The sequence below is a fragment of the Homo sapiens genome, chromosome 5 (genome assembly GCF_000001405.40).
Source record: "Homo sapiens chromosome 5, GRCh38.p14 Primary Assembly".
In the NCBI taxonomy this organism is placed as follows: Eukaryota; Metazoa; Chordata; class Mammalia; order Primates; family Hominidae; genus Homo; species Homo sapiens.
In genome coordinates this window covers 104,078,988-104,106,852 of record NC_000005.10, presented here as the reverse complement: position 1 = coordinate 104,106,852, position 27,865 = coordinate 104,078,988, and the positions used below count along the sequence as shown (strand labels likewise).

Sequence of the window (27,865 nt, the reverse complement as noted above, 5' to 3'; positions counted from 1 at the left end):
CACAATGAGCAAGTAGAATTTATTCCTGGAATGCAAGGATAATTCAACATACAAAAATTGATCAATGTAATATACAATATTAATGGAATAAAGAAAAAAACACATAATTATTTCAATTGACACAGAAAAAGCTTTCAAGAAAATTCAACATCCTTTCATGATAAAAATTCTCAACAAAATAAGAATAGACTGAAATATCTCAACATAATTAAAGGCATATGTTAAAAACCTGCAGTAAACATCACAACAGTAAAAGACTAAAAGTTTTTCCCCCAAGATGAAGAACCAGGCAAGGATAACCACTTTTACCATTTTTAGTCAACATAGTTATCACTGGACATTCTAGCCAGAGCAATCAGACGAGAAAAACATATAAAAGGCAAACAAATTACAAAGGAAGAAGTAAAATTATCACCATTCACAGAGTATATAAACTTACATGTCCACACACACAAAAAAACTTGAAAACTAATAAATAAATTCGGCAAAATAGTAGGATGCAAAACAAACAAGTGAAAATCAATTGCATTTCTATATGCTGACAATGAACAATCTGAAAGAGAAATTATTAAGCAATTTTATTTACAATAACATCAAAAACTGTAAAATATTTGACAACTTAAAGAGGTAAAAGACTTGCACAATGAAAACTACAAAACATTGCTGAAAGAAATAAATGAAAACATAAATGAAAACACATTTTATGTTCATGAATTAGAAGACGTAATATTAGTAAGATAGCAGTGCTACTCAAAGCAATCTATAGATTCAATGTAATCTCTATACAAATCTCAATGATGTTTTTTGTAGAAATAGAAAAAAAATCCTAAAATTCAAGTGGAATCTCAAGTGATGCCAAATATCCAAATCAATTTTGAAAAAGAAGTGTGGAAAACTCATACTTCCAGATTTTATAACTCACTACAAATCCACAGTAATCAATACAGTGTGGTACTGCATAGAGACAGACATATAGACAGACGGAATAGAATAGAAAGCTCAGAAATAAAGCCTCATATATATGGTCAAATAATCTTTTGCAAGGTTGCCAACCACGCAATAGGGAAAAGGCGGTCTTTTCAAAAAATAGTGCTGGGAAAATCAGATATGCTCATACAAAAGAATGGAGATAGATCTTTATCTAAAGCCATGTACAAGAATTAACTCAAAATAGATCAAAAGTATATACGTAAGACCTAAAACTAAAAAAAAACTTACTAGAAAATATAGGGCAAAAGATTTACTACATTAGATTTGTCAGTGTTTTCTTAGATATGATACCAAAGGCACAGATAACACAAGAAAAAAGAGACAAATTTTTTCTTATAAAATTTTTAAAAATTGTGCATCTGTGTTAATCTGTTTTATGTTGTTATAAAGAAATAGCTGAGGCTGGGAAATTTATAAAGATGAGAGGTTTATTTCACTCACAGTTTTGCAGGCTGTACAAGAAGTACGGCACCAGCATTTGCTTCTAGTGAGGCCTCAGGAAACTTTCAATCATGGCAGAAGGCAAATGGGGAGCAGGCACATCACATGGCAAGAGAGAGGGAGCAAAAGGGAGATGCCAGGTTCTTTTAAACAACCAGCTCTTACATGAACTTATAGAGTGGAAACTCACTCATTACTGTGGAGAGGGCACTAAGTCTTTCATGACGGATAGATCCCCATGGCCCAGCCACATCCAGTCTGGCCTCAGTTCCAACATTAGGGGTTACATTTCAACATGAGATTTTGGGGGGACAAATGTCCAAAGTATAACAGTGAGAGGTGAAGCCAGTGGGGCTTCTCGGTCAGGTGGGGACTTGGAAAACTTTTCTGTCTAGCTAGAGGATTATAAACGCACCAATCAGCACTCTGTGTCTAGCTAAAGGATTGTAAATGCACCAATCAGCACTCTGTAAAGACGCACCAATCAGCACTCTGTAAAAACCCACCAATCAGCACTGTGTCTAGCTAAAGGATTGTAAATGCACCAATCAGCACTCTGTAAAAAACGCAGCAATCAGCGTTCTGTATCTAGCTAAAGGACTGTAAATGCACCAATCAGCACTCTGTAAGAATGCAGCAATCAGCACTCTGTGTCTAGCTAAAGGATTGTAAATGCACCAATCAGCACTCTGTAAAATGGACCAATCAGTACTCTGTAAAATGGACCAATCAGCAGGATGTGGGCAGGGCCAAATAAGGGAATAATAACTGGCCACCTGAGCCAGCAGCAGGAACCCGCTGGGGTGTCCTTCTATGCTGTGGAAGCTTTGTTCTTTTGCTCTTCACAGTAAATCTTGCTGCAGCTCACTCTGTGTCCGCACTACCTTTATGAGCTGTAACACTCACTGCGAGGGTCTGCGGCTTCATTCCTGAAGTCAGCAAGACCACGAACCCACCAGGGGGAACAAACAACTCTGGACACGCCACCTTTAAGAGCTGTAAACCTCACTGCGAAGGTCTGCGGCTTCATTCCTGAAGTCAGCAAGACCATGAACCCATTGGAAGGAAGAAACTCTGGACACATCTGAAGGAACAAACTCCGGAAACACCATCTATAAGAAGTGTAACACTCACCACTAGGGTCCGCAGCTTTATTCTTGAAGTCAGTGAGACCAAGAACCCACAGGAATGAATCAATTCTGGACACAACAGCATCAAAAGATATTACCAACAGAGAGAATTAGCAACCTGTGGAATGAAAGAGAATATTTGCAAATCTTAAGTCTGATAAAGGATTAATACCTAGGTTATATAGAAAAGTATTGAAACTCAATAACAAAAAATAAACATAATTCAAAAATGGGCAAAGGAATGAGTATATATATATTTTTAAAGAAGATATACAAATGGCCAATAGGCACATGAAGAGATGCTTAACATCACTAATCATTAGGGAAATGCAAATCAAAACTATAATGAAATATCACCTTACACCCATTAACATGGCTCCCATAAAAAAAAAAAAAAAAAAAAAACACCTGAAAATAACAAGTATCAGGGAATATGTGGAGAATTGAGAACCCTTATGCCCTGTTGGTAGGAATGCCAATTGTCAATTGGTATAGCTACTATTGAATAAAAGGGTAGGACAGTTCCTCAAAAATTAAAAATAAAATTACCATATAATCCAGCTAAACTACTACTGAGTATATATTTTAAAAAACTGATAAAAAGGTCTTGAGATATTTATACACCCATGTTCATAGCAGCAGTATTCACAACAGCTAAAATGTAGAAGCAACTCAAGTGTCCACTGAGAGATGAATGGATAAGCAAAATGTGAGATACATACGATGAAATATTACTCAAGCTTAAAAGTGAAGAAAATTATGACATATGCTATATAACGTGAATAAAACTTGAGGACATTATACTAAATGAAATCAGCCGGTCACAAACAGGCAAATAAGACAAATTCCACTTATGTGAGGTACTTAGAGTGGGCAAAACTACGGAGGCAGAAAATAGAATGGTAGTTTCCAGAGGTTGAGGAGGGGGGAAATTGGGAGTCATTTTTAAATGAGCATAAACTTTTAATTTTACAATATGAAAAGAGTTATGAAGACTGATGATGGTGACGGCTGCACAACATTTTGAATATATTAACTCCACTAAACTATACACTTAAAAATGCTTAAAATTGTAAATAAATTTATGTTAGTTGTATTTCACCAAAATAAAAAAAAAACTGTTTCCTGCAGGTAAAGTGCTTAGAGCAGTTAAACACTCAACGTTATTAAGTATTATTATCTAGTATAAAGACATATTTTAATATTATATTTATATTATAACACATATTTTTATATTATATTCATACTGTATCACACATATTTGTATGTGTGTTGTACTAGATAATATGGAGACCATGGCTGTAACAGAGCTAGAAAATGAAGACTGACATTAGAAAGTCAATCTAGTACAGTGCTTCTCAAAGCGTGGTCAGGGGATTGGTGTCACCTGTGATCTCCTTGTTACTTGTCCATGATGAAATAAATATGTACAGAGTATGCATTTAGAAAATTTTACAGAAACTTAAAAAAAGTCTGTAGAATCTAATAATAAAAAATTGGATATTGTATTCTGTATGTATTTGATATTTTAATTTGCATTTATACTATAACTTTTTAATTTAATTTTACGTAATTGAATTGGAAATTTTTTTAGAAGGATCTTTCATTACACGTAGTCTAAGGCATTTGTCTCATGTATGTATGATGTGATGCAGTCTGTTAAGATTTGTTTTTAACCTAAACCTTCCTGTTTTTGAAAGTGACTGATAATATTCTCTGCCTTAAAATTTTTTTCAGTAGAATAATTATCTCCACCAAGAAGGAAAGTATGAATGTCCAAATTAATAGACTTAATATTTTAAGGTAGAAAAGTTACTTAATATTTTAAGGTAGAAATATATCAAGTGATCTAATATTTACCTGCAAAGTATTGTGCTTGATACTGTTGAGTGTAAAAACCAGTCATACAGAATTCCTGCTCTCCAGAAGTTTACAGTCCTAGTAAAATCTGGAGACATTTTTGGAACTTAATTCTTGCTTTACATAAGAATAAATATTATTAACTTCTTGGTAAGAACAAGACTTGTGCAATGAGAAGTGGTTCATCAAATTGTTCTCAGGAATTTGCACCATATAACAAAGGACATTTTCATCCAGTCAAAATATCCATTAAAAAAAAAGTGATGGTTGATTTTTACTCAGTCTTCTAGGACTGCAAACTAATGGTTACAAGAACATTTTTTTTCTCCAATAATACCAGGTTATTGTCACATAGCCCAATTGAAAAGGCTCCATTTTATGACCAAATTGTCCCCTTTCCCCTCTGAGCCTCTGAAATGAATAGAGGAGATAAAGTGGGATCTGAGTAAAAAAGTATAATTTAGACAGATAAAATATGATTCAGAGGAGAATTTGGTGACAATATGGAGACACAAAAATAAAGAAATCGAATCTATTGTTAGAATAGGCCCATTGTATCCTTTCTTCATGCCTTGTCCCTAGATGATTTTTCAATGTATAAATGAATTCATGGTGACAAAAAAGCTAGACTTTATCTATTAGCCAAGTACATTGCTGTCAGTGAACAACTTCCACCAATCTATCAGTTTATGTTATAAAGTTATCCTTTCTTGTAAAATAAGCCATCTGTGTGAAAATAATTCTTTTTAATCTATGATCAAATTAATACATAAATATTTATCTTTCTTATGTGAAGACTTCAATTTGGCTAAGGAAAGATATTTTTTCTAAATGTTGCTTGAGCAATCCCATTTTACCTGAACTAATTTAAAATGAGGCCTTCATTTATATCAGCAGAGGCTGAACTGTGTGGAAAATCTAATGTTATTGATCTATGTGGAAATTACACTGTGAGGTTCTCCTTAATTGTGTGTCAAAATCCAGTTGGCTACAGAGGATATTTATTGTCAACTTCTACCACAATATCATGTCTTATTGCCAACATTAAATTTCAGGTAAGTGCAGAAATACATACCTGTTCCCAAAAAGGCCAATAAAATATAGTACATATTAATTCATACTTGAATGAATAAAAATTTAAAATTTTTTGATGGAATATTCATTTTGAGGCACTCAGAAACCATTACAATATATCACATTTGTCAAAAAATAATGCACTCTGTTAGCTACAATAATATATGAGAAGTTAATATTCTTTTATATTGCAACAAGCATAATTGGCTGCTGCACATAGGAATACTGTAGTGCATCCTTAAATACTGTATCTCTAAATTGTAGATATAATTTAAATATAAAATTATTTCATATATATTATAACATGTGCAATTTAATTTAAATACAAATTTAGAAAGAATTACAATAAAAAGAGCTTCCTAATCATTCTTATTTTGAATTTTTCTGTTATTTATTACTGTCTTCTGGGAGGGCAAGATTTCCATTTTTGTAAAAACACATTGAGGTGTTAGCCTGACACTGCTAAATTACATGTGTTATCTCTCTCCATCTGGTACAATGGCAAGGCTGTTTGAAGAAATAGGATTCAGGGGAGCTGTATTTCTCAAGCAATACTTTTCCAAAAGAAATTTTCAATGATTTTTTTTGGAAATTTTTGCAAGAAGATATTTAGGAAGAGGTATATTCTACTCATATGATTCCAAATTACCTTACTTGGAAAGATGTGTATTGTCATATATATCTTTAAGTGGTGGATATGAAATAAGTAAAGGAAAATCTTTACTACAGTTTAACTTCTGAAGTATAGATCCCTTGACACCCTTAATACGTTGTTTGGGGATTCTTTATTTTGGCTGTCTATTATTTGCTGATTTTAGACAAAAAATAAAATAGGTGACCCATTATCTCATTATTGCAGCAAAAACCATATAAATATATATTCAGTATTCAAAGTATGATAGCAAAACATCTAGAAGACAGGTTCTGATTCAATTACTCTCCAAGCTTACTTATTTTTGCCATAATTAATCATGCATTGGAAATGATTCAAAAATATCATTGAAACCAAGAATATGTTAGACATGCATCTCTTTTTGAGTTACCTTTTATGTTTATGAAATATCATGTAATTTTACCAATATTTTTCATGTATTTTATAGAAGATAAATCCAATTAATGTTGCACAGTCATTCACATTTCAATTGTATTGACATTATTTGTTTTAGTATTAACACTACATCTTTCTGTTTTCCTGAAGCACACTATCATTGATATTTGAGCCAAAGCCTGATCGGAGACAAGTTAATTCTACTGTTCTTGATTGATTTAAGTATTTTAAGTGGGCAGTAGCCCCATTGCTATGTGACTTTTGTGAATTTTCAATTCATTCTACAAAGGTATTTTTCAGGTATCTAATATGTACTTTTATTATTCTAAACTTTTTATTTTTAAAATGTAGGGTTGTAAGTAGGAAGATAAATATAATTTTAAATATAATCATATAATTATACATGGGAAAGCAGGCTTAATGGCTTCATTAAGAGCCTTTGTTATCCTCTTCCACTTCCTCACAAAATAACTGGGAAGACACAAAAAAGATTTAAAACATCAATAACTTGAAATTAGTGCTGAAAGACAAGCCAAAAATCTTGTAGGAACTTAAAAAAATATAGGACTGATGAAATTTAATTGAAGGAAAAAAAAATACTATTGAGACCTAAGTCCATTAGGCAATAATATATTCAGCTTCATACAACTACACTAGGTAATCCAGAAAACAATATTGATAGACATGCATTCAACCCTCATTTGTTGCCTGATTCAGAGAATATACAAATCTGAACTGTGGCATAAATTCCTCTTCTCCCTTGGGGTATGTTCTGTATTTAAATTCAGGCTACAACCCCAACACACACATGTGTATACCTCCCTCCAACATGCACACACCACACACACACACACACACACACACACACGATTTTCCTTGATAAGATATAAATTCTAAATAACAATTTGGTAAAAACTAAGAATGATAGGGTGTTTAGTCATCACACTTTACTCACTGAAGACAACTTTTTCATAAAAGTTTACAATAGTATAGGAAAAGGGTAGAAATCCTAATTTTTCATGTAATTCTATAAAATTCTATAATGCTGAGCAAGGTTTAGCATATAGAAGAGGTAAGCAATCATATAAAGTCTGTTTAAAACCTAAAATTGCCCTTGGAGTTGAACATATCAAGTTTCTTTTCAAGTATTTATTGAAGCATAAACAGTAGGGCCGAAAGCAATGGTTTTTTTAATCTTTTAAAAATTTATATCAGACATATAAATTATGATAACTGTGATATCATAATATCAGAGATTGATATCACAGTCTCTGTGGGAGATTATGAATGCAGTCCACCACTACCACAAATTATGCAGTCAAGTTTCCCACAATTGGGGAAATCACAGGGGTCAGCATATCTGGAATATAATGGATAAGCCTCACCCTGTGAAAACCACTTTTGTGATCCTGGTATCTCCCCGGCCAGATAAGCAGAAAGGCAATCTTTTGACTCTTACCTATGAAAAATATTTACCCCAGTGTCATTATCTCACATTATTCAAATATGAGTATTAAGAAAAAATAAAACCACGGAGCCAAGCAAGTATTGAAGAACAAAAAAACAAAAAACAATATGAAGATTAATTAGAGGAACAGCATACTTCAAGAGATGATCTATTGTGACATGCAGAAGAAAGTATCTGGGAGATGGTATTCTCTAATAATTGCAGTAAGTTATGGCCTTTATGTATCAAGAGTTACAAGTTAGTAGAGCAAAAAAAGGATGAGGACGGAGATCAAGAGCAACTACGTGAAATAAAAAGAATATAAGATAAAACAAGACAGAATCCTAAAAATGGCTTTTAGTAGAGAGGGTGAAAATTATAGGAAAAGAAAGCTTAAAATGTTTTTGAAAAACTAAAAGATAACAAAGCAGTAGAATTGAAAATGGAATATATAGTTCCAAAAACACTAGATAATTTAAAGACACATAAAAAATCTATGAGGCAAAATACAGAAAGCAAAGAGATAAGGGAAACATAAATAAAAGAAAGCACACATAATGAGACAATGTTTCAAATTTATGTTTTATTTTTCAGTACTAGTAATTCTTTCATCTTCTTGTTTCATTCTTCAAACTATCCTAGCAGCTTAGGCAGGTTGAACTTACCCAGGAAAACATCCCAGCACACAATAAAACTGGAGTCCTCAGTTTTTCAAAATCAAAACATTTTTATGAATGAAACGGTAGGAGAAGAGAAGGGATTTTTAATTCTCAAGTGCAAAGGTTAATGCCAAAAGCTACATATTTGGAATAATAAAAAGAGATGTAATAACCAGCTTTCTAGGGCAAGGTTCCCTGCCTCTGAATGAATTATAGCATCAAAAAGGAATATCCTCCTTGTGTGGGGCTGAGAGGGGGTTCCTCTGACACTTCATGGTTGGCTTCAAAAGATGATGGTAGAATATACTCCGCAGAGAAGTGTCACAATCTGGAATTTTACGGAATTTACCTCTTGCTGCGCGTCTGGAGTACTGGAGAAATGTCGTGTATCACCTTGTGTGGGGATAGTAGAGGAGATGGCTACATTTGGATCCAGGAGCAAAGAGAGCTGATGCTGTTCCACCTACTCTCTCTTGGCTCTGAACTTTTATGGGACAGCAGCCTTAGGGAAGAGACTGGAAACAGATCGTTAGGAGTGTGTGCTGGATGCAGTTGGCTGAAGTGGCAAGATACTGCACAGTAATTAGCCAGTTAGAAAGTGGTAGTGAAAGAGAATGATTGAGATCTAAAAACCAAGAATTTACCATTTTAAAGAGGTAATTTCTTTTCAATACTAACTGGTAAAAGATTAAACTGAGAAGTCCTAAGAGAGACAGAAGACAAAGTACAAATTAAATCTCACGTGCTTACAAAGATCAAATCAAGCCGACGGGTATCTATCGCATTTATGACAGGCAGCTTGGAAGACGGACACAATTGTTGCTGCCTCTTTGTATCCACACCCTGTAGGAATTCTCTTCCCTTGACTTTGGAGAGGACCTGTGTGTTACATCTTAGTGATGGCGAAAATAATAGACTGTTACTACCCTGATTACATTACATAAGATGATGGCTTCCACTGTGTTTGCAAACTCTTTCTTTCTCACTGGCCTTTATGGAGTAAATTGCTGTATTTGGCAAGAAGCTTAGGGTGGCCCCCTCTAAGGAGTGAGTCATGGAGTTAATGAGACCCTCCCTCTAACGATCCTGGAGAAATTGAATCTTTCCATCAACCATGTAAGTAAGCTTAGAAGTGGATCCTTTCCAGGTCAAATGAGATCTCAGCACTAGCTGATAACGTCAGTGAAGCCTCATAAGAAATCTTCACACAGAGGACCCATGTAAATTATGTCCAAATTCCTGACCCACAGAAACTGTGAGATGATAAATATGTGTTATTTTAAGCCACTAAGTTTTGAAGTAATGTGTTATGCAGTAAAAGATAACAAATCCATCACCCACTGTTAAAACCTCTGAATGAATTAAGGTGTCTTGGAACACTGCCATGTTTGTGCTACCTAGCAAATCATTTCAGTTGGACAAAATAGTGTAGGAAAAAGAGGCTAAAGACTTTCCAAGAAAGGTTAGTGATATGGTTTGGCTCTGTGTCCCCACTCAAATCTCACCTTGAATTGTAATAATCCCCACATATCAAAGGCGGGACCGCATGGAGGTAATTGAATCATGGGGGTGTTATCTCCCATGCTGTTCTTGTGATAGTGAGTTCTCATGAGGTCTAATGGTTTTATAAGTGTCTGGCATTTCCTCTGCTGGCACTCATTCTCACTCTTGCGCCCTGTGAAGCGGTGACTTTCACCATGATTTTAAGTTTCCTGAGGCCTCCCTAGCCGTGAGAAACTGAGTCATTTAAACCTCTTCATAAATTACCTAGTCTTGGGTATTTCTTCACAGCAGCGTGAGAACAAACTAATTCAGGAAATTGATATTGGGAGTGGGGTGTTGCTGTAAAGATACCCAAAAATGTGGAAGCAACTTTGGAACTAGGTAATAGGCAGAAGTTAGAAAAGTTTGCAGGGCTCAGAAGAAGATAGATGTGGGAAAGTATGGAATTTCCCGGAGACTTGTGGAATGCCTTTGACCAATATGCTGATACTGATATGGACAATGAAATCCAGGCTGAGGTGGTCTCAGATGGCGATGAGGAACTTTTTGGAAACTGGAATAAAGGTGACTCTTGCTATGCTTTCTCAAAGAGACTGGTAGCATTTTTCCCCTTCCCTAGAGATCGGTGGAACTCTGAACTTGAGAGAGATGATTTAGGGTATCTGCTGGAAGAAATTTCTAAGATGCAAAATGTGCAAGAGGAAGCAAACCATAAAAGTTTGAAAAATTTGCAGGCTGATTATGTAATACAAAAGAGAAACCCATTTGCTGGAGAGAAATTCAAGCTGCCTGCAGAAATTTGCAGAAGTAACATGGAGTTGAATGTTAATCACCAAGACAGTGGGGAAAATGTCTCCAGGGCATGTCAGACACTTCACAGCAGCCCCTCCCACCACTGGCCCAGAGGACTAGAGGGGGAAAGTGGTTTAATGGGCAGAGCCCAGGGTCTCCCTGCTCTAATGCAGCCTTGGGACATGGTACCCTGTGCCAGCTGCTTCAGGTCCAGCCGAGGCTAAAAGGGGGCAAGGTACAACTCAGGCTTCAGAGGGTACAAGCCCCAAACCTTGGCAGCTTACACGTGGTGTTGGGCCTATGGTGCAGAGAAATCAATAATTCAGGTTTGGGAACCTCCAGTTAGATTTCAAAGGATGTATGAAAAAATCCTGGATACTCAGGCAGAAGTTTGTTGCAGGGACAGAGCCCTCATGGAGAACCTCTGCTAGGGCAGTGCAGAAGGGAAATGTGGAGTTGGAGCCCCCACACAGAGTCCCCACTGGGGCACTGCCTCGTGGAGCTGTGAGAAGAGGGCCACTGTCCTCCAGACCCCAGAATTTTAGATCCACCAACAGCTTGCACCCTGCACCTGAAAAAGCCACAGGCACTCAATGCCAGCCCGAGAAAGAGGCTGGGAGAGGGTCTGTACCCTGCAAAGCCACAGAGGCAGAGCTGCCTAAGACCTTGGAAACCCACCTCTTGCATCAGTGTGACCTGGATGTGAGACATGGAGCTAAAGGAGAATATTTTGGAATTTAAATGTTTAATTACTGCCCTATGGGATTTCAGACTTGGATGGGTCGTGTGGCCCCTTTATTTTTGCCAGTTTCTCCCATTTGGAATGGGTGTATTTACCCAATGCATGTACCCCCATTTTGTCTAGGATATAGCTAACTTGCTTTCAATTTTACAGGCTCACAGGCAAAAGGGACTTACCTTGTCTCAGATGAGACTTTGGACTCAGACTTTTGGATTAATGCTGAAACGAGTTAAGACTTTGGGGGACCATTTGAAGGGCATGATTGTGTTTTGAAATGTGAGGACATGGCTGGGCATGGTGGCTCACGCCTGTAATCCCAGCACTTTGGGAGGCTGAGGTGGGTGGATCACGAGGTCAGGAGAACAAGACCATCCTGGCTAACATGGTGAAACCCCATCTCTACTAAAAATACAAAAAAAGTAGCCAGGCATTGTGGCAGGCACCTGTAGTCCCAGCTACTCAGGAGGCTGAGGCAGGAGAATCATTTGAACCCAGGAGGTGGAGGTTGCAGTGACCTGAGATTGCACCACTGCCCTCCAGACTGGGTGACAGAGTGAGACTCCATCTCAAAAAATAAAAAAATAAAATATGAGGACGTGAGATTTGGGAGGAGTCCGGGGTGGAATGATATGATTTGGCTCTGTGTCCCCACCCAAATCTCGCCTTGAATTGTAATAATCCCCACGTGTCAAGGACAGGACCAGGTGGAGCTAATTGAATCATGGGGACGGTTTCTCCTATGCTATTCTCGTGATAGTGAGTTCTCACGAGATCTGGTGGTTTTATAAGTGTCTAGCATTTCCCCTGCTATTCTGTCTCCTGCCACCGTGTGAAGAGGTGCCTTCCACCATAATTGTAAGTTTCCTGAGGCCTCCCCAGCCATGCAGAACTGTGAGTCAATTAAACCTCTTTTTTTTGTACATTACCCAGTCTCAGGTATTTCTTCATAGCAGTGTGAGAACAGACTAATACAGGTGGATTAACTCAAAGTAACTGAAACTAAGTGATAAAAGTGAAACATGAAGGCCAAGAAAAGAGGAAAACAAAATGTAAACCTAGGAACTCTTATATTAGTATTCTTTATTGAACCAAGTAGAATTAAATGGAAAAAAAAAGGCTTTAAAAGTTATATTCCTAAAGCATGAGCTTACACTCAAAAAGTCTGGGATTATTTAAGCCTTAAAATGACCTATAGATCTCAAATCTTGTGCAGGCAGGAATCAAGCTGAGAAAGATGCTCAGCCCCCAAGGAGGATATATTTTCTGATGCCAACTTTGGATGTGATGTGGCCCAGAAAGGTAACAAAGAAGGAAAAACAAAAAACAAAAAGCTTCCAGAGGTCACAGCCAAGAGACTGAAGGTTGCTACAAGGGAGCAGAATTCAGACCTAATTAAGAAACTTTGCCTTATTCAATGTAGGAGTCCTCCTGACCTCTGCTAGGCAGGATTTCAGAATTTCAGGAGCAGTAACTGCTGGTGTTTCCCATCCTCTTCCATCAGAATGAAACAGTTTACTATGGTTTATCCCCATCTGGCCACTGAAAATTAGATAGTTCCCATCCTCTTCTATCAGAATGAAACCGTTTACTATGGTTTATCCCCATTTGGCCACTGAGAATTAGATAGGCAAGGGGCACAGAACTTCACTTTTGAGTTCACAAAACTTGGTGTCAAGAGCCTCTATGTTGAAACAGATGTTGATGCTACTGAATATCACATAGAAATCTTGAATTTTGAGATTGAAGCTGTGAATAGATGAGATATTTTGGCTTTGCCTCACTTGAGTAAGGATGAGTATATTTTGCCTATGGAAAGGTGTGGTAAATATTTGTTACTAAAAGATGAGCAAAAGTAGCCATTCATGCTTATATAAAATAGTTGCTTTTTTCTCCCTCTCCCCTTTCCAGGCACCTGGTAGAACTGGACTTCTCTCCCACCTGTGAAATTATACATGACTCTGTGTGGCTTTCTTTAGCTGAGAAAATGTAAGAATACATGATATGTGTTATTTCCTAGCTGAAGTTCTAAGAATTTGATGCACTGTTTGCCGTGTCTCTTCCCACCTCTGAGGTGATCAAGGAAGACTGGGAAAATTAAAACTTCTATTAGCCTGGGTCTCTTTGTAACTAGAGAACCAAGCCTTAAGGCAACCTCTGTTGGCGTATCATGAGCTACTGAATTAAATCAGTAAGAGTATCAGAATATTTGTTACTACAGGGTAACCTAGCCTATCCAGAAATCAGCCATCTTATATTTCTGCATAATAATTTGAAGAATGTGATTCCAATTTCTAAAGTGTAATGGAAATAGTTTAGAAGAAAGGGTGTGAACTTTATAATTGAACATATCTAAGTCTTAATTCCAGTTCAGTCATACTGTCTAATTTTCAGAAAACTGCTAAAGCTCTCTGAACCTTTTTGTTCTTCTCCAAAATGGTATAATAATTAAACACCTCACAATGATATTTTAAGGAATAAATAAGAGAGCTGGTGAAGTTATGGCCATGAATAATATGTGAACATAGTATATGCCCTGTAACTTCTATTTATCTCTTATTCCTATTAAAGACATTATATGCTATTAAGTTTAAGACTAAATTAAGAAATAACATTTCATGGGTGTATAATATGTTGGGAAGTTAACTTCAAAATTTAATGCATGAGCTATACAAAAGAAGTAGGAACTAAAATTAGTTTAATTCAATGAATTTTATTAACCATGATTGAACCAATTTTGACTGACTGCGGCAGAACTTGATTGATAATACATATACACTTTACATATACCTGTATACATATATGTGTATAGGTAATATATACATACATGTGTATGTATGTGTGTGTGAGAGTTTGTGTGTGTGTATGTGTGTGTGTGTGTGTGTGTGTGTGTATATATATATATATATATATAACAATGACATTGAACTTACCAGTTTGTTCTTTGGGCATTGTATCTGATAGATATATTAGACCTGGATTTTAAAAAATGTATACATATTAGTAAAATCCTATGACCTCTCCAAAAGCAAACAAACAAACAAAAACCCAACAGGCTTCTACTGATTCATTTATAAATAACTTTGAGATTATAAATACCAACTTATATATACATCCAGTTCATAAAATTTTTATTTCTGCTGAAATTTTTAAATTTCTAAAAATATCTGCACCTTTAATTTGGATCCTTAGAACAATAAGATGTAGATACTAACTTGAACTCATAAAATATAAATTTTAATTTTGTTTTGTATATTTTTTGTCTATTATGCTATCTGTTGGGTTTTTGTTTGTTTGTTTGCTTTTGGAGAGGTCATAGGATTTTACTAATATGTATACATTTTTTTAAATCCAGGTCTAATATATCTATCAGATACAATGCCCAAAGAATAAACTGGTAAGTTCAACGTTATAATATATATATATACACATACACACACACACACACACACACATACACATGTATGTATTACCTATACACATATATGTATACATGTATATGTAAAGTATCTATGTATACATATACATGTGTATATACAGATGTATATGTATATAATGTGTATATATATATAATGTGTATATATGGAGAGAGGGTGAGACCACTTAGTAATATGTAATATATAAAATATTATAAAGTAGATTAACCCAAAACTTTACAGTACATTTCTAGTAGTTACATAAAAGTTCATTATCAAACTTTTTCATTTAACAACCATTCTTTGGTAATATTGCACAATTCCTGCCAACTAGGCAATGAAAAATATTCATTGTTAGATATATTCCAAATGATTACTTTATAGTATAGACAGTAACTGATTTACTTGATTTAGCACATAACTGGTTTTATAAAAATCACAAGGAAAAAGGAATACAGCCAATTCAAAACAATTCTAAAGTCTCCATTGTGATTATGTGTGTATAACTTGTTCCGGACCTCACACTAATTACATCCTGTGCTCTGCACAAGATACAGTCAATTCTGAGGGCTAAAACAGTACTTTAATTTTGAAATTATTTTATTAGTTTCATTTTGTTTTCCCAATTTTATAATATTTCCCCCTCAAGCTTCCTGCCAAGATGAGGCATTATAATGTGTTACTTATAAAAAAAAAAAAAGCCACTTGCCAAAGCAGGTACTTAAAATAAAAATAATTTTAGCTAAATTTGGAAACAAAAATATATGTACCTACAACAGGAAGAGAATAGACCTAGCTGTATTTGTGTTTTTAATGCTACAGTAGTTTACTTGTCAAAATTTTTGAATTACTCAGTACTTCACACAGATAACTTTCTTACTTCATATATAAACCCATTTATTTAAAGGAATGAAAATAGGTGTATTACTGATTCATTATCTCTTAATATATATTCCTGAACAGTTAAGGGATTGTATGAATGAATATTCTATAACTCCCTAGTGAAAAGATATATGGCTTGAGTCTTATTATGAGAGTCTTCAGAAACACATTTAAAGATTTCCTCTAGGAATAAAGATGATTCTAAACATTGATAGAAAAATAAACTAAGATAATGTAAATTTTAACCTGCTAAATTTTAAATTTTACATGTAAGATGTAAAAACTCACATAAAAATTAGGGTTGTGTCTCTACTTTTTTCTTAAAAACATATGTTACATATATGATTGTTACATATCTTAAATGTGATATATAATGAGATGTTATATATGAAATATGTCATATACAAGATAAATATGCAATTACATATACATATATAGGCATGTATATACATGTATAAACTATTAATAGGTTCTAAAATTATCAAAAATACTTAATACAAAGATCTCTTTATGAAATCTCCTATTTTTCCATCTTTTATTTACCGGCCCATAACATAACATTATGACACCATCCATCTTTATTAGCTGTCTACTATGTACCAAATGCAGGCATTTTCTTTGATTCTATAACCCTCACAAAGTAGGGTCTTGACCACTCTATGATTGAAAAAATGAAATTATATGTATATATGAAACTGGCCCAATTTTCCCATAGAACTGAAATCTTGAATTTTGAGATTGAAGCTGTGAACAGATGAGATATTTTGGCTTTGCCTCATTTGAGTAAGGATGAGTATATTTTGCCTATGGAAAGGTGTACTAAGTATTTGTTACTAAAAGATGAGCAAAAGTAGCCATTCATGATGCCTCTTGACCAGCTACTCTTCCTTACCCCTCCCTGTTGTATAAACCCCTAACTTTAGAGGGCTGGGGAGAGGAACTTAATGGTTAGGCTGAAGTACCCACAAAAAAGTCTTTCTTCCCAGCTAATACATGTTATCTCAGTGACTGACTTCCTACTCTTCTAGCAACGGGACCCCGGTGGAACCAATTATCCTAAATAGTGCGTATGAGGGTCAAGATTTAAACCTGGGCATATTCAATCTAAAAATTGTGTTTTCTTCCAGTGCACAACAAAACATTCTTGCAAGATATTTGGGACTGACACAGCATCAGGGCCTATGATACAAAGTCCAACCCAAAGGGGCATAAGTGTTTCTAGTGTCAGGGTTGACTCAGCCTAATTGTACTAACTCCAACAGGGAGGCCGGAAGGTTTCACAATGACTCAGTGGCTAATTAAATTCTTCTGAATTCATGGTTTGTTGAGAGGCTTTCACACACCAACCGTCATGCAAATATATTCAACACACACAGACAGTAATAAGAGAGTGGAGGAAAAGAATCATAGGAAGTAGCTATGATTTTCCCTCGGAACTCCAACCAAGGTGAATGAAGAGTTGTCAGTTGTTGGAGTGTCCATAGCCATTATCTGTCTTTTGGTTTTACTTTCTTGTCAGCCCTTGGGGGTGCCTGGCCACAGCAGGTATTATCTTATAACGTCAGTCCACCATACATATGCTTATCACTCTAAGGGGTCAGCAATTTCACTCTAGGCTGAGTCTTGGTCATAAATCGCTCTATTTTGAGACATTTAGGATCACAAAACATTATTGTATATGAGTGTTTCATAGAAATCTTTCAAAATGCTCTATTTTTTGTGTGTCTTTTTTTTTTCCTTTTTGTGGAGAATGGGGTCTCGCTATATTGCCCAGGCACGTCTCAAACTCCTGGGCTCAAGCTATACTCCCACCTCTGCCTCCCTAAGAGCTGGAATTATAGATGTGAGCCACGACGTCCAGTGCATTTAAAATGCTCTATCTTAAAACATCTCTGGCTGGGTGCAGTGGCTGATGCCTGTAATCTCAGCACTTTGGGAGGCCCAGGTGAGTAGATTGCTTGAGCCCAGGAGTTCGAGACCAGCCTGAGCAACATGGCAAAACCTCATCTCTACAAAAGATAGAAAAATTAGCAGGGCCTGGTGGCACACACCTGTAGTCCTAGCTGCTAGGAAGGCTGAGGTGGGAGGATCACCTGAGCCCAGGGAGTCTGAGGCTGTAGGGAACTGTGAGAACTGTGATTGTGCCATTGCTGGGCAACAGAGTAAGACTCTGTCTCAAAAAAATAAATCTCTAACCACATATGTTTATCTTTTTATTTCTTGCAAATAGATTAGTTGAGCCTTTATATCAAGATAAATAATGTGATTTTTAAACTTACCCATATAAGGCTTTTGTATCAGAGACAAATGTACTATTATGCTCACAATAAAATCAACATCCACCTTAACTTTGCAGTGTTAAGGTGCCCAGCAGCCCCACAGTGCAATGGGATGAGAGCTAGGAAGAAAAAGTGTCCTACATGTGTTATGGGTTGAATCTGCAGATGAAGAATGGAGAAATATATGTTTCTTCTATTTCTGTATGGAAAAGAGACCATTTTACTACTCCCATTTTGAAAGTCTTCTTGGAGGTGGGATAGAAGTATACTTACTGTAGTAGGCCCCTCTGAAAGCTATCAACCACCTAATCTCTGAAACCTAGGAATGTTATATAGGTTGACTTTGAAGATGTGAATAGGTTGAGGTCTTTAGATGAGAAGATTATCTGAATTGTCTAGATGGGCCTTAAATATACACTCACAAGTTTCTGATAAGAGTAAAGCCAATTTGACACAGAGAAAATATTATGTGAAAGAAGCAGAGTGAAAAAGAGAGGATCCTACAGCACTGAATTTAAAGATGGAAGAAGGGACTATGAGCTAAAAAGAGCTGCTCTAGAAGCTGAAAGGGACAGGAAAGCATATTATCCTCTAGGGCCTCCAGAAACAGTACAGTCCTGGCTTTGGCCCAGTGAAAGTGATTTTGAATTTCTGGCCTCAAAAACTATCAGAGAGTGAATTTGTGTTGTCATTTGCAATACAGCATGGAGAAAGTCAAGCCTACAGGTACCCTAAGAAACACTGGAGGCTTCAATGAAAAGCAATTAAAGAGAAGATTCAGATTACAAGCTCAGTGGTAGGCTGGTTGGTTTGGAGGGGAAAATGGAAATAAGTCAACTGAGAGTAACCCTCCTGAAATATATATAGATATAGATATAGATGTATAGATAGATATAAAATATGTTACATAATATTATATATATAAAACAATGACCTCAGTCGTTATTCATTCAAAGGACCCACAATATGATTAGAGTAGGGTTGAAGAGCAGTTTATGTCCCAGAGCATTGTTGAAATCAACTGAACAATAGGCAGCAGTTGGTGGGGCTAGCCATCTGCCTATGGTTAAAGAAGAGAGTTCTACCAAAACCACTATTCTGCTATAGTGACTGTGGGCATATCCAAGACTTTGCTTCCCTAAGGAGCAACATCAGATGCTTAACACAGTAGCCTGAATAGAGACCTTACTAAAATAATCCAGCCCGTCACTAGACAAATGAACAAGTACATAGCAATAAGCACTTTTGTCCCTCAATGGACACCATGAAGAAAATGTAAAGATAACCTACAGAATGGGAGAATATATTAGAAAATCATGATTCTAATAAATAATTTATATTCAGAATGTATAAAAATTTTTGCAACTGAATATATTAAAAGTCAACTAACTCAATTTAAAAATGTGCAGAAAAGGTAAAGAGAAAATTTTCCCAAGAAGATACATAAATGGCTGATGAAGACAAGAAAGTTGTTCAATGTCATTGGTCAACAGGGAAATGCAAACCAAAACCTCAATGAGGTACCACTTCACACACACTAGAATGGCTAGAATCAAAAAATCAGAGTATGGCAAGTATTGGTGAGGATGTGGGGAAATTAAAATCCTCTTACGATACTTTTAAGAATATAAAATGGTGCAGCCACTATGAAAAATAAGCTCAAATGATTAAATATAGAGCTACCATTTGTCCTAGCAATTTAACTCCTAGGTATGTACCCCCCCCAAAATAAAAACATATGCCCATGAAGAAACTTCTATACAAACATTTTTAGCATAGTAGTGATAGAGAAAAGTAGAAAGAACCTAAATATTTATCAGCAGATAAATTGATAAACTGTGGTAAATTCATACAATCTAATATTATTTGGCCACAAAAATAAATGAAGTACTGACAAATTCTTCAAAATACATGAACCTTGAAAACATTTATGCTAAGTGAAAAGTCAGTCACAAAAGTATCACATAGTCTATAGTTTCATTTATCTGATATATACAGAATAGGCAAATATATAGACACCAAATTAGATTGGTGGGCCAGGTGTGGTGGCTCACACCTGTAATCCCAGCATTTTGGGAAGCCCTAGTGGGCAGATCACCTGAGGTCAGGAGTTTGAGACCAGCCTGGCCAACGTAGTGAAATCCTGTTTCTAAAAAAAATACTGTAAAAATTAGCCAGGCGTGGTGACACATGCCTGTAATCCCAGCTACTTGGGAGACTGAGACACGGAAAATCGCTTGAGCCTGGGAGGCAGAGATTGCAGTGAGCCGAGATCGCACCACTATACTCTAGCCCAGGCGACAGAAAGAGACTCCATCTCAAAAAAAATGTAGATTGGTGGTTATCTGGAGTGGCAACTAGGGAGCTAGAATAAGGAATATTGCTAGTTGCTATGAGGTTCCTTTTCAGGGTGATAAAAAATGTTCTAAATTTGACTGTAGTGATAGTAGAACATATCAGTGAATATGCTACAAACCATTGAGCTGTAGACTTTAAATGGGTGAATTGCCTGCTGTGTAAATATCTTAATATAGCTGTTAAAATAGTATGGAAAATTCAAAAACCCATTTATGTCTAGGCAGTATAAGGATGAGGGATGAAGAAGACATTCAGAGACTTAGGAAAGTTGAGAATGTTGTATTTCTAATTTTGGTGATAGACATAAATATTTTTAAATTTTTATTTGTTTATACTTTACATCCATATTTTATATGCACATATGTTTATAGATAGATAAAATATCAAGTAATTCCAAATTAATAAGACAACAAATAGATTGAGTATGATTACTTCAATTTCATTCTTACCAATATTTCCATCATAGTTTCTGCCGTACTGAAAACTGATGTACATGCCCAATTCTGGTTTAAAGCTGTACTTAATAATGCACTTAAAAAAAATCTGACATTGGCTTGTGGTGCAAGCAATGTTTGCTCTAACTCAAAACGAAAAAAATATTGATTTTTAAAGAGGTTTGGTTATTTAAGTACCACACTTGGCCTATTATAAGTAATTTAAATTGAGCAAAAAAAAGTTGTCCCCTAAAATCATTCTCATAACAGTTTATATCAACTATGCAAAATTGTAAATGCAGATACTTTTTTAAAGCAATTATTTCCCCAGGCTTATCAGCTCTTCTTAGTAGTTCTTATAGAACTACCTGGAATCACAAGATACTAAATAGTGAGTTAAACCTTCTTAGTCATATTTATTGGCCTGCTATATCCCAATATTACTATGCAATCTGTTTAATAATAGATTATATAATTGCCCATCCTTTTGCCTCAGAAGTAAGATAAACTCGGGTGGAAAACAATTAAAAATGGAAGAACCCCAATGACTGATTCCCCAATGCGAGTCTATCTGCTATTCCAACATGGTTAATGATTCACTTTGTAGAATGATGTCAGAGCAAACACAGGTGCATTTGCACATCTCTTTTAGCCCCATCAAGAGCACCTTTCAGCAAGCAAAATGTGTCTGTTGTCTCCTGGGGACAGAGAGTAAGTAGATTTGGGAACTAGTGCCCATGGGTAGTGTAAAGGAGCATGGTTCACACTGTCTGAAATTGCTCATGCCCTGGTTCATCCAGCTGGTAATGAAGCAGTCAGCATCCCATCTCTGGAGTGGAATAGGCAATTATTCTAGCTTGAAACTCTGCCCTTGCAAATTGAGTGTGGCAACAATTCACATTGGCTGTCATTATAAAGTCCCTTGAAACAGGGTTGCTATCCATATCAGTTCAAAAGAAAAAAACCAGAGATGCCTAAAAAGTTTACCTGAACTCTCAGTAGATTATTGTATATTGATGGTATGGATATTTATTGTGCTTTCTGGGAGATCTTTTTTGTACAACTTTACGCTTCCATTTTATTTCAAACTGATTCAAATACAGCTAAAATTACAGTCACATAAAATATTTCTGTGGCTTCTCATTAAATACTCTTCTATCTTGCAATACATTTAGAGAAAGAAAACATTTCTCTTTCTTCTTCTAGTTACATATGAATGCTGTTATAAACAATGAAAGAAAAAGAAAACTGCCTAGGGAGTCGGACTTTTGGATGTATAGTTAACACCATTCTTTCTCTACCTGTAGCTCTCAAACTTGGCTCATATTTGTATTTTCTGGTGGTGGTTTAAAAGAATACCCAGTGCTTTGGCCCTACCCTATGCTAATTAAATCAGCATTTCTGTGGGTGGGGCCTACAAGTGGTTGTTTTCTTTTTTTAATTTTTTCAATGAATAATTCATTATCTTTATTTGATGTCGTTTTTTAGGTTTAACAGAAAGAAAACTATGACAGCTTAAAAAGAAAATGAAGGCTGATGAAACATTCCTGCCAAACTTAGTTATGTGTCAATATGAGTATTTTTTTCCAAAATACTTATTTTACCATATCATGTATATCATGTCCAAGCATAAGTGAACTCTTTCTTCATAACCCTAACCCTAACCCTATATAGGGTCATTCTCTTAAAATAAAAAAAAAAAAATCAAGTTAGAAAATTTCTGTTAAAATAAATAGCTTTGTTTATCATCATCAGATAATTACTCTGGACATATTATATAGTTTTATTAGCAACAATGAAGTCTTCTTTATATTTTATTACCATACTTAATTCTTTTCAGAGTAAAAATATGTCTTGGATTTGCTCTTTATGTTGTTGTTAAATATTTCTTCTGTTTATTGGCAATGTGTATTTTATTTGTGCTAATTAACTGCCTAGTGCCCTTTGTCCCCCTTTTTTTACATTTTTTTTAAAATTTATTTTACTTTAAGTTCTGGGATACATGTGCAGAATGTGTAGGTTTGTTACATAAGTATACCTGTGCCATGGTGGTTTGCTGCACCTATCAACTCATCATCTAGGTTTTAAGCCCCACATGCCTTAGGTATTTGCTTAAATGTTCTCCCTCCCCTTGGCCCCCACCCCCGACAGTCCCTGGTGTGTCTTGTTCCCCTCCCTGTGTCCATATGTTCTCATTGTTCAATCCCACTTATGCGTGAGAACATGCGGTGTTTGGTTTTCTGTTCTTGTGTTACAGGAACTAGGTAGTTGTTTTCTAAAAGCACCACAGATAATCCTAGCATGTTCAAGGTAAGCAGTACTAAAAAGTTAAATCACTTGAGGAAGCATTTAAACTGCAGATTCTAATTCAGGTATTCTGCGATAGAGACTAAAAATCTGGATTTCTATCAAGTTTCCAGATAAAGTGGATGTTACTGGCTTGTGAATTTCTTTGGTAAGTGGACAGAATCTAGATCAGAACTTTCCTAGCTTAATAAAAGAGTTTCCTAGAGAGTTTTTTTTTTAATACCTATGCCCATGACACACTCTAGACACATTACATGAGAATTTCAGTGGGTGCAATCGAGTCACTAGTGGTTTTAAAAATGTCACAGATGATGTGCAGACAATGTTAAGAACCCCACTGATTTAGATGTTCTCCTCATCCACTATTACCTGCCCATTTTCCTCTGACTTTTCTCCTTGACTTAATCACACCAAAAATCTTCCATTTCACAAGTCTTAAAAATGTTGATTTCTCCCTCTGAATTATTTGCATATCAGTTGTCATGTGTTAGTCAATATTTGAAATATACGCTGGCTCTCATCTTCCATTTTTTGTAATAGTCGTCATATTTAAGATCTTTATTGCCCCCTGTCTGTAATAGTCTACAATGTTTGTTTCCAATAATTTCTAACTCAAATAATTAGCAAAATCATTCAATATATTTTACTTTCTTGTGTATGACTATTTTTCTGCTCTGTCTTTAGCCCCTTATAGTTAACCACATCTTTATAGCTTGAAAAGTCTATTCATCTTAAAAACTACCTTTAAATTTCCTAATACATCAAACCAAATAAGAGTCTCCTCTTTGGACTCCTGTATTTTGTATTTTTTATATGTCACGTGCAGAACAAATTATGTTATAATTGTATATGAAGCTTGCTTTATCTTTCGCCCACATTTCTCGCTCTAGACCTTAAAATAATCTATCAGAAAATCCTGTTCAAGATTAATGATAAATAAATGTTTATTAAATTAAAAATGTATAAATTGTTTCTTTTTTAACTATTACACTCATATTAGTTTGAGAAATGATTTCTTCCCATAAGAAGTTTACTATATACAGAGTTTGAATCTGTAAACCAAATAACACACAAAAGGATATAGCTAATTCTGCAATTAATCAATGAATTGCATGGCAAAACTGAATATTCTGGAACTGAAGCAACTCTAATTGTACATAGCATTTGAGACATAATAGGTTCCCAAAAAATAGCTTCCCAGAATTTAAAGAGAGGAATTCTTCTGTCAACATAGACTTTCAAGTGACATTTTAGGATGTCACTGTGAGTAGAGATTAGAAAAAAGGTATGTTAAATAAACAACAATATAATTATAGAGGCTGAAGGAGAAGAAATGCAAATGTCAAGTTGAATGGAGAGTGAAGAGCCTGGTTTGACCATACCAGTGTGTCGTGGTTTTGCATGTTCTGAGGCTGAAATTGTCTAATAAACAACATTTTTTCATTAGTTACATGTTGCAAAAAAGATACAAAGAATTAAAAATATTTCAAATAGCATTTAACCAGGGGAAGAACATGATTGAAAACAGGTAAATTTTTGTTATTACCTTGCATCATTTAGGATGTGTCCAATGTGTAATATAATTTGCTACTGGTTGCAGGATTTTTTGGATGGCTGTTTAAGAGTAAAACAACAGTAAAAACTTTGGATGAGGATGATTGGCAATGTTTATATGCTTAGAAAAGGCTATTCCTATCATTATAGAAGAAAAAATCATTTATTATAAAATTGTTAATAAATCTGTTATTGTAATAATACACAGAATTAGTTCACATATAATTATATTATTATTTAAGACAATGAAGATTATGTTACAAATATTATTACCTCAAAATAAATATTGTGGTAGTATATAGATTTCTTAAGCTGCTATCAAAATATAAGAGTTTAGTTTTATAGCTACAAAATTTTATAAAACTTTCCAATTTTTCAAGATATAATTTGCCATTAGTTTAATATGCTTGAACTTTTGCATGTACTTTTATATTTACAGTGGAATTTGTAAATGAAGAGGTTTTCCATTGTCTCATATACCAAGTATTTTTTAAAAATGCTTTCTACTGTTAATTAGATTGCTTAATGTCAAATTTTTCCCTTTCTGTGGCACTTCCCTTAATCCAATTATTTTCATACATTTTCTTTCTAAAGTATCCTACTGAGAGGATAGCAGGAAGACTTAGATACTGACAAATAAAGCTAATAGCAGTTTATATAGTTTTTGAGTTCTCATGTTTTATCTTTAGACTTCATGCAGAATTTATACATATACCATAATATATTAATTTTAATGTAAAACACTGCTCTAAATGATTTATCTTTATGAAAAATATGAAATTCAATAAAATATGCCACACTTAAGCCTGATAAAAAAATAACACATGCTCATATCCTTTACAGGAAAAGTTTCTTCAACTAAGTTTCAAGGAAACAATTTCAACCCCATCTTACCTACCTATGTATGTGTATCATCCTTTCTTTTCAAATAAGTACACCATATTTGTCTCTGAAAAAACTGGTACTATTCAGTACACTGCCTTCTAAACAGCATGCAAATACAACACGTTTCTGCCTTGAAGATGTTTGAAACTGAGGAAAAGATGTAAGACACAAATATAAATGATAGAAATCTACATACCATAAGTATATTGTACAATGAATACTATGCCCTTTAAAGGGGAGATAAGATCAAACTTTCTAATGAGTATACTTGGGAAAATAGTCACGAAGAGGTAGCATTTAAGTTAGTCATTAAAAATGTATAAGGTTCTGGCAGATAGAAATAGAAGGTATGGGAAGAAGGAAATATCTGAGCAAAGGCAGAAAATAGAAATGTACAAAGCCCTTTTCAGGAATTAAATCATAAGTTGGTTTTAATTGTAAGGGAGAATACATATAATAAATGGAGCTAAGATTAAATGGTTTTAAATTGAGAGTGGCAAGATAAAAATTGTTTTTTAGAAAGTTATTCTGATTATGAAATACGGGATGGTAAAAAAGCCACTCCAGAATTGAATAGCTATCATCCATATGTATGCTTTTGTCAATATAATATGATTTTTAAAGTTATTGCTCCCCCAAAATTGAAAGAATCTATTTTTTAAAAATATCTTCAGGAGGAGCCAAGATGGCCGAATAAGAACAGCTCCGGTCTACAGCTCCCAGCGTGAGCTACGCAGAAGACGGGTGATTTCTGCATTTCCATCTGAGGTACCGGGTTCATCTCACTAGGGAGTGCCAGACAGTGGGTGCAGGTCAGTGGGTGCGCACACCGTGCGCGAGCCGAAGCAGGGCGAGGCATTGCCTCACTTGGGAAGCGCAAGGGGTCAGAGAGTTCCCTTTCTGAGTCAAAGAAAGGGGTGATGTACGCACCTGGAAAATCGGGTCACTCCCACCCGAATACTGTGCTTTTCCGACGGGCTTAAAAAACGGCGCACCACGAGATTATATCCCACACCTGGCTCAGAGGGTCCTACGCCCACGGAGTCTCGCTGATTGCTAGCACAGCAGTCTGAGATCAAACTGCAAGGCGGCAGCGAGGCTGGAGGAGGGGCACCCGCCATTGCCCAGGCTTGATTAGGTAAACAAAGCAGCCAGGAAGCTCGAAGTGGGTGGAGCCCACCACAGCTCAAGGAGGCCTGCCTGCTTCTGTAGGCTCCACCTCTGGGGGCAGGGCACAGACAAACAAAAAGACAGCAGTAACCTCTGCAGACTTAAATGTCCCTGTCTGACAGCTTTGAAGAGAGCAGTGGTTCTCCCAGCACGCAGCTGGAGATCTGAGAACGGGCAGACTGCCTCCTCAAGTGGGTCCCTGACCCCGACCCCCGAGCAGCCTAACTGGGAGGCACCCCCCAGCAGGGGCACACTGACACCTCACACGGCAGGGTACTCCAACAGACCTGCAGCTGAGGGTCCTCTCTGTTAGAAGGAAAACTAACAAACAGAAAGGACATCCACACCAAAAACCCATCTGTACATCACCATCATCAAAGACCAAAAGTAGATAAAACCACAAAGATGGGGAAAAAACAGAACAGAAAAACTGGAAACTCTAAAAAGCAGAGCGCCTCTCCTCCTCCAAAGGAACGCAGTTCCTCACCAGCAACGGAACAAAGCTGGATGGAGAATGACTTTGACGAGCTGAGAGAAGAAGGCTTCAGACAATCAAATTACTCTGAGCTATGGGAGGACATTCAAACCAAAGGCAAAGAAGTTGAAAACTTTGAAAAAAATGTAGAAGAATGTATAACTAGAATAACCAATACAGAGAAGTGCTTAAAGGAGATGATGGAGCTGAAAACCAAGGCTCGAGAACTACGTGAAGAATGCAGAAGCCTCAGGAGCCGATGCGATCAACTGGAAGAAAGGGTATCAGCAATGGAAGATGAAATGAATGAAATGAAGTGAGAAGGGAAGTCTAGAGAAAAAAGAATAAAAAGAAATGAGCAAAGCCTCCAAGAAATATGGGACTATGTGAAAAGACCAAATCTACCTCTGATTAGTGTATCT

General features: G+C 35.8%; 1 long non-coding RNA gene and 1 pseudogene across 1 annotated transcript, besides 1 other annotated feature; both read right to left on the bottom strand.

The window, feature by feature from the left end:
* Positions 1-1,400: 1,400 nt before the first annotated feature.
* NIHCOLE (ncRNA involved in NHEJ oncogenic ligation efficiency) lies at positions 1,401-25,955 on the bottom strand. The gene is made up of 3 exons (XR_001742526.3): positions 25,812-25,955; positions 24,906-24,973; positions 1,401-2,679 (listed from the first exon to the last, which is right to left on the bottom strand). It is a non-coding gene; the product is annotated as an ncRNA involved in NHEJ oncogenic ligation efficiency (long non-coding RNA).
* On the bottom strand, positions 7,815-7,979 carry RNU1-140P (RNA, U1 small nuclear 140, pseudogene; annotated as a pseudogene).
* Positions 26,696-27,221: an enhancer, noted in NCBI's record as "H3K27ac-H3K4me1 hESC enhancer chr5:103415333-103415858 (GRCh37/hg19 assembly coordinates)". NCBI's record gives its function as "activates a minimal SCP1, AML or CMV promoter by ChIP-STARR-seq in naive H9 embryonic stem cells {active_cell/tissue: H9 hESC(naive)}" and the evidence as "EXISTENCE:reporter gene assay evidence [ECO:0000049][PMID:30033119]".